Source organism: Homo sapiens, chromosome 17 (genome assembly GCF_000001405.40).
Source record: "Homo sapiens chromosome 17, GRCh38.p14 Primary Assembly".
Lineage (NCBI taxonomy): Eukaryota > Metazoa > Chordata > Mammalia > Primates > Hominidae > Homo > Homo sapiens.
In genome coordinates, this window is record NC_000017.11 from 76,208,627 (window position 1) to 76,220,964 (window position 12,338).

Consider the following 12,338-nt stretch of genomic DNA (forward strand, 5'->3'; position numbering starts at 1 on the left):
TGCAGCTATATGAAGTTACTCTGATTTGCTTTCCTAATATAAAATTATGTCTTTTAAAAACATTTGCCAGCGCGGTGGCTCACACCTGTAATCCCAGCACTTTGGGAGGCCGAGATGGGCAGATCACCTGAGATCAGGAGTTCAAGACCAACCTGTCCAACATGGTGAAACCCCATCTCTACTAAAAAAACACAAAAATTAGCCAGGTGTGGTGGCAGGCACCTGTAATCCCAGCTAGTCAGGAGGCTGAGGCAGGAGAATCACTTGAGCCTAGGAGACTGTGGCTGCAGTAAGCCAAGATCGTGCCACTGCACTCCAGCTTGGGTGACAGAGTGAGACTCTGCCTCAAAAAAAAAAAAAAATTCATTTGCTATGTGTAACATTAAGCATACTTAATGATTACTACATAAAAGCAACAACAAAAACTCCAATGTTGATGTTCTTTTTTTTTTTAAGTGGCATTTATTGATTGATTGATTAAGATGGAGGTCTTGCTATATTGCTCAAACTGGACTCGAATTCTCCTGGGCTCAGGTGATCCTCCCATCTCAGCCTCAGCCTCCTGAGTAGCTGGGACCACAGGCACATGCCACTGTGCCCAGCTTGATCTTCTTTGGGAAAAAGCCTCAACTTTAAGGTTAAGGCTGCTACCTAGCATTTCAGAAAGAGCTCAGTCATTCATAGGTCGGCATAGGCAAACTTAGGAAAAGTCTGCCAGCCAGCATAAACTTCAAGTTGAACCTAAAGCAGCATTTACTTCAAGCTTGTCCAACCTGCGGCCCAGGGGTAGATGGCTTTTAATGTGGCCCAACAGAAACTCGTAAACTTTCTTAAAACATTGTAAGATTTTTTTGCGTTTTTTTTTTTCTTTTTTAGCTCATCAGCTATCGTTACTGCTAGTGTATTCCGTGTGTGGCCCAATGTGACAATTCTTCTTCTTCCAATGTGGCCCAGGGAACCCAAAAGATTGGACATCCCTGATTTACTTATTTTTATATCATCTTTATGGACTGAAAAGGCCAAAATTTTTTTAAAAATATATAAACTATCTTTACATCAGATGAAAGGAAAAAGACAGAAACAGATGCAAACATCAAGTCCATGTTATTAATAGAAGAAACGGCTACTTTCATTTTTGTTTTTGTTTTTTTGAGACGGAGTCTCACTCTGTCGCCCAGGCTGGAGTGCAGTGGAATGATCTTGGCTTACTGCAACCTCCGCCTCCTGGGTTCAAGCGATTCTCCTGCCTCAGCCTCCTGAGTAGCTGGGACTACAGGCTCACACCACCACGCCCAGCTAATTTTTGTATTTTTAGTAGAGATGGGGTTTCACCACATTGGTCAGGATGGTCTCGATCTCTTGACCTTGTGATCCGCCCGCCTCGGCCTCCCAGAGTGCTGGGATTACAGACATGAGTCACCGTGCCCAGCAGAAAGGGCTACTTTCAAAGCACAAGCTGACTCCCTGTGAGTGAGGCAACATTTTTATCTGGCTCTATCAGAAAAAAAGAAAGATCTGTCTACTCTAATTACCAAGGCAGTAGTAACAAAATCAAAGAGTAGACATCTGATAAGTATTACTTGACATAACTTAACTTGAAGCAGACAAGATTTGGTATTTTGAAAAGTGTACTACTGGACGAAAAATTAGCAGAGGGGTCACTCCAGATAGAAAGGAAGAGAACCCGCCGGGCGCAGTGGCTCATGCCTGTAATCCCAGCACTTTGGGAGGCCAAGGTGGGCGGATCACGAGGTCAGATCGAGACCATCCTGGCTAACACAGTGAAACCCCGTCTCTACTAAAAATACAAAAAATTAGCCGGGTGTAGTGGCGGGTGCCTGTAGTCCCAGCTACTCAGGAGGCTGAGGCAGGAGAATGGCGTGAACCCGGGAGGCAGAGCTTTCAGTGAGCCAAGATCGTGCCACTGTACTCCAGCCTGGGCGACAGAGCCAGACTCCGTCCAAAAAAAAAAAAAAAAGAAAGAAAGAAAGAAAGAGAACAATGAAAACCAAAAAAATAATTATTTTTATGTTAAAGGTCAAGATGGAAGACCATCATCAGATCAATCTTCCTAAAAAAGCAATTTCTCCAGGTCACTCACCTACCTACAAGTCTTAAATATTCCTCACGGTCTACAGGAGAGAGTAAAAAACCTATCAAGGTAACACAGCCGCCACCTACCTTTCTCTTTTTTTTGAAACAGAGTCTCATTCTATCCCCTAGGCTGGAGCGCACTGGGGCAACCTCAGCTCACTGCAACCTCCACTTCCCGGGTTCAAGCGATTCTCCTGCTTCAGTCTCTGGAGCAGCTGGGATTATAGGGGTGTGCCACCACCCCGGGCTAATTTTTGTGTTTTTAATAGAGATAGGGTTTCACCATGTTGGCCAGGCTGGTCTTGAGCTCCCAACCTCAGGTGATCTGTCCACCTCGGCCTCCCAAAGTGCTGGGATTACAGGTGTTGGCCACTGTGCCTGGCCCACCTTTCCAATCGGGCCAGACTGGTTTCCTTATTTGTTCCAGGGAAGAACAAACCATGCTCATTTCAGCTCTGTATCCACAGCGCCTATCACAGTACCTGACACGCAGTAGTTGCTCAGTAAATGTTTGCCAATTCAACAACTTGAATGCTCTTAGGCCTGTGCCGTGCTCTACTCCTGGAAAGGCCTCATCCAACCCACCATTCTTCAAAGGCCAGTTCAACTCCCTGCACCTCTTCCCAGTGTAACACTGAAGCAACCTGCCCTTGCCATTGTCTTCTCCCACTCTCAATTCCCACCACATTCAATCACTTCTGATCTTTATTGTTAATTAAACATTTCCTGTTTTCTGTGTTTTGTCTGCTCCACCAAACTTGCAGAATATTTCAAGGCAGTGAGGAGCACTGGAAAGATTACTGATCTGTGACCAGGCAAACCTAGTTACATGACTTTGAGAAAAATGTATATAAAACCCTTAGAACAGTGCTTAGAACATAGTGTGCACTTCCTAGCTTCTGTCATTATTCATCTCTCTGAACACCTCAGTTCTCTCGCTTATAAAATAGAGTGATAAGTCCTAAGTCAAGTGGTCTTCATATGGAACAGGGGTCTCTAGGACCTTCCTAGCACACGGTAGCCACTCAATAGCCACCTGGCGGCTATTATTACAAAGCCTCCTGCATGATGCAGAGAAGGTGCGCAATAGAAATTTATGAGAAGGAACAAGTGAGAGAAATGTATTCTCATATCAACTCATATATCAAGAGAAAAATTTTCAGTCATTCATTCAACAATCATTTATTAAGGGCTTAACATTACGTGCCAGGCTTTGTTCTAGGTTTGGGATACTACAGTAAAAACAGTCCTTGCCTTATGAAACTTACGTTCTAGAGGAGGAGGCAGACAATAAGCAGAGAAAGAGACAAATCAATAAAAGGTTGGTGTTAAGTGCCATGAAGAAAAAAAAAAAAGGTAAGCCCTTGGAAAAGGGTTGCCTAAAGAGGTGACAGGGAGAGATCTGTCCTAGCTTAATTTGTGAGACTCATCCTCTCCCTCACAAGACTCCAGGAGCTCTTCCAGTCCTCTAGCAACAAGAGATCCCATACAACCAAGGAGGCTGCAGTTTGTCTTCTAGTGCATCTCTCTCAACTCAGACCAAGCTACAAACTGCTGAACAAGCAACTGCAAACTTATTTTTGTTACATTTTTTGAATTGGCCACTTAAGCTCCAAGTAGGAGTAAACTGATTACAGCCATACCACAACTGGTCTGTTCCCCAGAAAGTTCAGATCGCTGTTCTCTCCAAACAGGTAACCTTCAGGATGAGTTGAGTCAAACTTCTCTCCTCCCATAATGAAGTGGCTGGCAAAATAGCTTCCTAGAGAGGAACAAACAAAAAAAATCAAACAAGCAGAAAACAGTCAACCTAAATCTAGTAAAAAAAAAAAGCTGATTTTTAAAATGTTAACCTTTTGGGCTGTGCGTGGTGGCTCACACCTGTAATCCCAGCACTTTGGGAGGCTGAGGCAGACAGATCGCCTGAGATAAGGAGTTCGAGACCAGCCTGGCCAACATGGCAAAACCCTGTCTCTACTAAAAATGTAAAAATTAGCCGGGTGTGGTGGCACATGCCTGTAGTCCCAGCTACTCAGGAAGCTGAGGCAGGAGGATGGCTTGAACCCAGGAAACAGAAGTGCAGTGAGCCGAGATCCTAGCACTACACTCCAGTCTGGGCGACAGAGTGAGACTCTGTTTCAAAAAAACAAAAACAAAAAAGTTAACCCTCTGAATGAATAATTAGAGCAATTTCTAATCCCAGAGTGTTTTCTTTTCCTGATTTGGGACAATGGCACAAAATAAGTAAAATCATAGCAGGGAAAACCCCAGATACCAAACGTAGACTAGATCACTGTTTTCCTTTTAACATTCTTAACTGAATTCTTCTAATGATCTGTTTAAAATACCTCCAGCCAAAAGACCAAAAGGTTCTACAATGCACATTAATGATCATATATATTTTTTGGTTCCTGACTTTTGCCTTTAAACTTGAAGTAGTTATTCCATGTATTGAAGAATCTCAGCTACAGGTATCGGCATATACATACACTGTGATATTGTAAAATATATGTTTGATCTTCAACCCTATTTCCTGGAATGCAACTCTTAAAATCCTTGGAATATCCAGGCCGGCATGGTGGCTCATGCCTGTAATCCCAGCACTTTGGGAGGCTGAGGAGGGCGGATCACTTGAGGTCAGGAGTTAGAGACCAGCCTGGCCAACACGGTGAAACCCCATCTCTACTAAAAATACAAAAATTAGCCAGGCATGGTGGCATGCGCCTGAAGTCCCAGGTACTTGGGAGGCTGAGGCAGGAGAATCTCTCGAACCCGGGAGGCAGAGGTTGCAGTAAGCCAAGATCACACCACTACACTCCAGCCTAGGTGACAGAGCAAAACTCCATCTCAAAAAAAAAAAAAAAAAATGCTTGGAATATCCAAAGTGATGTCTTTTTTTTTTGTCTTTACATATGCTAATGAATTAACCACTGCCTGGCAGCCCCTAGGTAGCCTCAGGATGGCGGCTGGTCACTGGAAAGAAAAGGCAGGATTAGAGGGTGGGGACTTTCAGCCCATCCCCCAACCACTGAGGAAGGGAGAGGGGATGAAAGTTAAGTTGATCATCAATGTCCAATGATGTAATCAACCATGCTATGTAATGAAGCTTCTATAAATACCCAAAGGACTGGTTCAGAAAGCTTCCAAACAGGGGAACACTTACAGGTTTCTGGAGGGTAACATGCCCAGAGACGGCATAGAAGCTCTGTGCCCCTTCTCACATAACCTCGCCCTATGTATCTCTCTCTGTATCCTTTGTAATATCCTTGATAATAAACTCGTAAATGTGTTTCTCTAGTTCTGTGAGTCCCTCTAGCAAGTTAATCACACCCAAGGAGGGGGTTATGGGAACCCTGCTTTCTGGTTGGTTAGTTGGAAGCACAGGTAAAACAACCTGGGGCTTGCGATGGGCATCAGAAGTGGGGGGCAGTCTTGTGAGATTGCACCCTCAACCTGTGGGATGGGACACTATCTTCAAGTAGTATCAGAAGTGAAATGAATTGGAGGACACCCAGCTGGTGTCCTCTGCAGAACTGAGTGGTTGCTGGTGGAGAGAATCCCCACACATTTTGCTGACCAGAGGTCACAGAAGTTTTCTGTGCTGCTTGTGTTGTGAGTGTATAGGAGAAACTGAGTTTTTTTCCTATATCCGCAGACGCACACATTTCTTTGCCTAGATTTTCATAAGCCAGCTTATACCTACACACAGAAGTCTCAGTACCCACCCACCACTACTGCTATACCTCCATAACCTTCTATGATGAAGGTTCTTCACACTTTAACTTGCTGCAAACATTATTGTTTCACAGGAAAATACGAATTTAGATAATACAGTTATCCCTGGCTTTCTCTACCAATTACTACACAGACTATGGTGTAAAATAAGGGGACAATTTAATGCTATGAAAGAAGGCTACACACATACCCTCTCCACCTCAAATTCATTAACAGTGCTAATGGCCAGAACTGCTGGGACATCAGTCATGGCAGGGCCCCTTTGCCCCTTCTTAATCAGCCAGGAGGCAGAAATATTTTCAGTGCAATATAATAACCAAATGAAATCAGCAGTCAGGGGCCAAAATTCCCATCAGCCTCATCCGGACAAACCAAGGAACTGTGACAGGATATGATGGAACTGAGAAGTCACCAAAGGAGGCTTAGGTTATGCTGAAAATTACATCTGGGAATACATTTTAAGTTTGATGATTAAACGAATGCCGCTTACCTCTAATTTCTATTATCTAATTCTCCCATGAAGGTAAGCTGTCCAAAGTAAAGGACACATCCCATAATATACCTTTATCAACACTCTCATATACCCCATTTCTGAAATTAACACAAGGAACTTATTAAGTGGCAAAAGGCTTGCTTGTGTATAATACATTGAGGATATACACAAACTCCCTAAATCAGTTGCAATTTTTGTTGAAGATTTGTAGCAGGCAGGGTGTGATGGATCTTGCCTGTAATCCTAAAACTCTGGATGGCTGAGGCAGGAGAATTGCTTTAGGCCAGGAGTTGGAGACCAGCTTGGGCAACTTAGCAAGCTTAGCAAGACCTTGTCTCTACTAAAAACAAAACAAAAAATAAATAAAAATACAAAAATTAGTTGGGCATGGTAGCATGCGTCTGGAGTTCTAGCTACTCAGAAGGCTGACGCAGAAGGGTCGCTTGAGTTCAGGAGTTCAAGGTTGCAGCGAGCTATGATTGCCACTGCACTCCAGCCTGGGTGACAGAGTGAGACCCTCTCTAAGAAAAAAAAAAGAAAGAAAGAAAAAAGAAAAGAAAAGAAAAAAGGAAAAAAAGATTTATAGCAAACTAAAAAAAAAAAAAAAATGAGATTCAGTACTTTGAGCCTGTGGAGAAGCCATAGGAAGGAAGACAGAGAAGAAAATTCTAGCAAAAACTGAACCAAACATTCATTTTTAAAACTTTCTACACAAGGAGCTTTAGTCTAGAAACATCTATTAAATAAAACAATGTGGATAAAATCACTCACCACAAAGTGAGGCAACTATTGAATTAAACAAGCAGGAAAACATTCTTTGAGAGTAATAATGCAACCCAGATCAAAGCAATCACTGAGGAACTACTGAAAGTCACCCATTAAAACTTAAAAAGACAAAGGGCAGCCATCTGATACAGTGATACAACAGCAGAATTCATCATTTAGGAAAGCTTAATTATCAATTATTTATGTCTGGCACTTGCTAGCCCTATTTTCCAAGTGCATAATTTATGGAGAGGGGAGGTACCTAGTTGCCTTAAGTAGAAGCAGCAATCTCAAATAATTTAAGTCATTTACTGATGAACTTCAGCAAGATATATTTTCTATGCATCAGGAATTATACATTTATCATATATTAGGTAAAATTGGAAAAGTTAAAGATGTTACACAGATGGATGGCTTGCCCAAATCATGAAAAAAGAAAGGGAGAGAAGAGAGTTTGATGTCTGGAATTGTCTAGGTTGACCTCAGTGTGGGACCACTGAGTTTCCAGTACCTGTGAGATCTCAGGGGAGGGATCTGGGGCAGTAAAAATCCATGGATGATTGGCTTAGAGGTGGCCATGATTGAACCTAGCGAGAGAGGACCCCTAATGATTTGGGGGCTAAAGAGTTAAAGCAGGCAACAGGGTTCGATTAGAAATGCCCTTTTATGCCATAATATTAAAAGAAAAGAAATGACCACAAAAGATGTGTAGAGCTAATTGTAGTTTTGCCTTGCATTAAAATCAAGAATAGTCTGGGTGTGGTGGCTCACACCTGTAATCCTAGCACTTTGGGAGGCCAAGGTGAGAGGATCACTTGAGCCCAGGAGCTCAAGACCAGCCTAGGCAACATGGTGAGGCTCTGTCTCTGTATATTTAAAAATAATAATAATAATAATACTATGGTATATTCAGTCAGTAGAGTATTATGAAGCCTTTCAAAGTGGTGTTGTAAATCTATATCTACTGACATTAAAAATGTTCACAATATATTATAATTAGACCCTTGTCTCGACAAAAAATTAAAAAATTAGCTGGGTATGATGGCCCAAGCCTGTGGTCCCAGCTACTCAATAGGCTGAGGTGGGAGGATCACTTGAGCCCAGGAGGTCAGGCCTGCAGTGAGCCATGACTGCGCCATTACATTCCAGTCTGGGTAAAAGAGCAAGACCCTGTGTCAAAAAAAAACAAAAACAAAAACAAAAAACAAACAAACAAACAAAAAACCCCATAAAAGCTATATAAGCTGTATACTTATAACTGGGAATGATTTTCTCAAAATTACAAAGTTGGCAAAATTGTTCTTACTTTTACTTAAAATTAGCTTGAACACCTGTTCAATCACTCAATAATTCTTTAGCAATATTAATTTCTAAACTTTTGGTTATTAAGGGGAAGACGCATAAAATGTGCAAGATTGTATGAATTAAAAAGAGCTCCCCAAACCTTCATCTATTTTTTGTTTGTTTTTGTTTTTCTGTAGAGATGGAGTTTCACCATGTTGGCCAGGCTGGTCTCAAACTCCTGGGTCAAGAGACCTGCCCGCCTCAGCCTCCCAAAGTGTTGGGATTACAGGTGTGAGCCACCGAGCCCAGCCATCCTCATCTGTTAAAAGGAAAAATAAATTTACTTATTGGTATTTCATTTTACAACCAAAAATTTGCTTTTTCCTTTCTTTGAAATGAACCCCTCTAGCAGCTTGCTTTCATTTAGACAAATGAGAAAAGCAAATCAGCCTTTTTCAGACTGAATAAAGCTTTCTACTTGCTCAGTCTTTCTAGAGGGACAAATTGGTGCACAGCTATGTATAGCTACTAGATCATCAGATACCAACACCAAACACATCAACAGTCCCCAAACAAGATGACTTTTAGACAGCTTATGCATATTTTTACTTCTTAACACAATGAACTGTGCTTCAAAATCAGTGGTGGGGGAAAAGAACTCTACTAAAGTACTTCTTTGCCTATTTGTTACCAGGAGAAACACGTCACTCACAGATAAACTGCAGAACTCAACTAAAATACACCCTTGCCTATTTGCTAACGGGAAAAAAACATATGTCACTAGTAGATAAACTTCGAGTGTTTCATTATTAGTGAGCTATAATTTATTAATCAAAACTCATATTCAGAATTCTTTGCAGGCTTTAAAAAGTCACATCATACACATATCTCCAAGATTATACGTAAACCGTAAGGTATGAGTGGGAAGGAGAAAGGGGAAATTAATGTTTAACAAGTACATAGTTTTAGTTTTATAAAATAAAAAAGTTCTAGACATCTGTTGCAAAACAGAGTGAATATATGTAACACTAATGAATGCTTAAAAATGGTTACTATGATTAAATTTAACGTTATGTGTTTTTTTGCCACAATAATAAACACATAAATATCAAGAAAAAAAACCAAAAGGTATGAGCCAGAATGATCAACACTAAGACAAGTTCAGTAAAATGACTGACCTTTAAAGAAAGAAAGGCACCCAGGCAAAAAGTCAAAATTCTAGAGGGGAAGAAAATCGGTGTCATCAGACTTTTCAACAGAAACACTTTATGTCAGAAGACAAGGGAGTAACATTCTAAGGTAGTCAAAGAAAGAAAAGCCCCTGAGCTCATCTGAGGAGTCTACTAAGGAATAAGCTTCCAGGCCAAGCCCAGTGGCTCACGCCTGCAATCCCAGTACTTTGGGAGGCCAAGGCAGGAGGATTGCTTGAGCCCAGAAGTTCAAGATCAGCCTGGGCAACATAGCAAGACCTCATCTCTACAATAAAAAAATTAAAAAGTTAGCCAGGCATGGTGGCATGTGCTTGTGGTCCTAGATACTCGGGAAGCTAAGGTGGGAGGATTGCTGGAGGTCAAGGCAGGAGTGAGCTATGATCACACCCCTGGACTCCAGCCTGGGCAACAGAGTGAGACTCTGTCTCAATAAAGGAAAAACAGGCCAGGCATGGTGGCTCACACCTGTAATCCCAGCACTTTGGGAGGCCAAGGTGGGCAGATCAACTGAGGTCAGGAGTTTGAGACCAGCCTGTCCACCATAGTGAAACTTCGTCTCTACTAAAAATACAAAAATTAGCCGGGAGTGATGGCATGTGTCTGTAGTCCCAGCTACTCGGGAGGCTGAGGCAGAAGAATCACTTGAACCCGGGAAGTGGAGGTTGCAGTGGGCCAAGATCACACCACGGCACTCCAGCCTGGGTGACAGAGCAAGACTCCATCTCAAAAAAATAAAAAAAAATAAAAAATAAAAACAAAGAAAATACAGTACAGCTCTCAAAAAATAAAGAAGGGGGATGGATAGCAGAGAAAAAGCAGAATATGTTTGCTGACAAACTTTAGGTGTAAGTGAGAGTCAAAGGAGATACTTCAAATGCTGGAGTAAAGAGGAGAGGTGAGTGAAGAGGTTACTAGTTATATCCATATTATTCACAGTAGGAAACTAACAGACAAAAATAATAATAATAACAATTTAACAGCAGTATATAAAGATTAAATAAGGGTAACCATTAGAGAAAAATACAAACCTTCCTAAATCCAAAAAATACATCTTAAAAAAAGAGCAAACAAAACAGACTACATAAAGACTATATAAATTTTTACATATATTTATATACATATAAATATAACATAAAATGGCCAGCCTTAAGCCAAACATATCAATCATATCAATAAATACAAATAGGCTTAATTTATATTATGCTACCATGTGTGTAAGGAAGAGTGGCTATGAAGATATATACATATTAATTAATATTTTTAAAACAAGCAATGTAAGGATAAATCATAATAATCTTAAAGTGATTATCTATAGGAGGAGGGAGGGAACGAAGTAGAAGGGACCAGACAGAAGGTAGATTTCTTTGAATACGCATTGCTTTATGTATCTACCACTGGAACCATGTAAACATTTTACATAATTATAAAATTAAAATTTCTGTAAAGCAATCCCTAAAAATCAAAAGTAAAGTGAAACAAATGAACCTAGGTGTGTGTGTAGTGGAATAACTACAGAAAGAGAAACTATTCCCAAGAACTTTAAGAGACTGTAATTTAACTGTACATCTCAATAGGAAAGAAAACTGCGAAAAATATATCTCAAACAGTTTACAGTAATCATATTATTGGTGACAGTATTTTCTTCCGAGAATGTGGCATTAAGCAGATGAGTAATTATGTGATTTTCAATTTTATCATACCTAGCGTATTGAGAATCAGAGAGAAAGTTAAAAAAAGCCAAGGTTAAACAAAAACCATATAGTCCTGAATTTGTATTAGAAATATCAATAAAAATGCATGATGTGTATTTTATCTTTACAAACAATGTTTCCTAGCTTGGGCCACTGAAAAGGCCTAGAAACATAGACCAACAAAGTAGGAGGGGGTGCCGCTAGCATCCAGCCTGTAAGTCTGCAAAAGTCATTCCCCACTAACAGGAACAAGGGCTCTTTGGAGGCCACATTCCAAGTCTGTGGCAGGAAATACACAAGATGGGACTAGAACATCTTGTCATACCAGATAACAAGGACGCTCTCTAAACCTACTAGGGTCATATCCAAGGGACTCAAGAGCTGACTTAAAGAGGTTCCCGCAGAGCAAAGATGGAATATATTAAGCTTCATCAGGATAATAAGGGCAAGGAATAAGTCTAAGTCAATGAGTTCGTAATGATATCTAAAAAAAAAAAAAAAAAAAGGTTACCTTTGAAGGATGCTAGTAAACCAATTCATTATTTTGGAAACTAGCAATTAAAGGGAAAGCCTCAAGCATTTATCTTGCCTTTCCTACATGAACTGTACCTCTGGGTGAGTGAATAATTAATAGATGAGGGGAGGCCGGGTACCATGGCTCACACCTGTAATCCCAGCACTTGGGAAGGCCTTGAGCCCAGAAGTTTGAGACCAGCCGAGGCAACATGGCAAGACACTGTCTCTACAAATTTATTATTTTTTTTTTTTTAGTTAGCTGGGCCAGGCGCAGTGGCTCACGCCTGTAATCCCAACACTTTGGGAGGCCGAGGTGGGTGGATCACGAGGTCAGGAGTTTGACACCAGCCTGGCCAACATGGTGAAACCCTGTCTCTACTAAAAATACAAAAATTAGCTGGGTGTGGTAGTGTGCACCTTTAATCCCAGCTACTCAGGAGGCTGAAACAGGAGAATCACTTGAACCGGGGAGGCAGAGGTTGTAGTGAGCCGAGATTGCGCCATTGTACTCTGACCTGGGCAATAAAGTGAGATGCTGTCTCAAAAAAA

The 12,338-nt window shown here is 41.1% G+C and overlaps 1 protein-coding gene across 8 annotated transcripts in view; it reads right to left on the reverse strand.

Annotated features, from left to right (window-relative positions):
- Positions 1-12,338, reverse strand: part of RNF157 (ring finger protein 157) — a 98,020-nt gene that overhangs the window by 66,153 nt on the left and 19,529 nt on the right. For 6 of the 8 annotated variants that reach the window (NM_001330501.2, XM_047435287.1, NM_052916.3 and 3 more), the window contains exon 2: positions 3,738-3,856. In NM_001330501.2, coding sequence (NP_001317430.1) covers positions 3,738-3,856 — 119 coding nt within the window. Of the gene's footprint in view, positions 1-3,737; positions 3,857-12,338 lie in introns of those variants that run through there. The other 2 variants (XM_047435288.1, XM_017024120.3) reach the window with 2 other exon arrangements.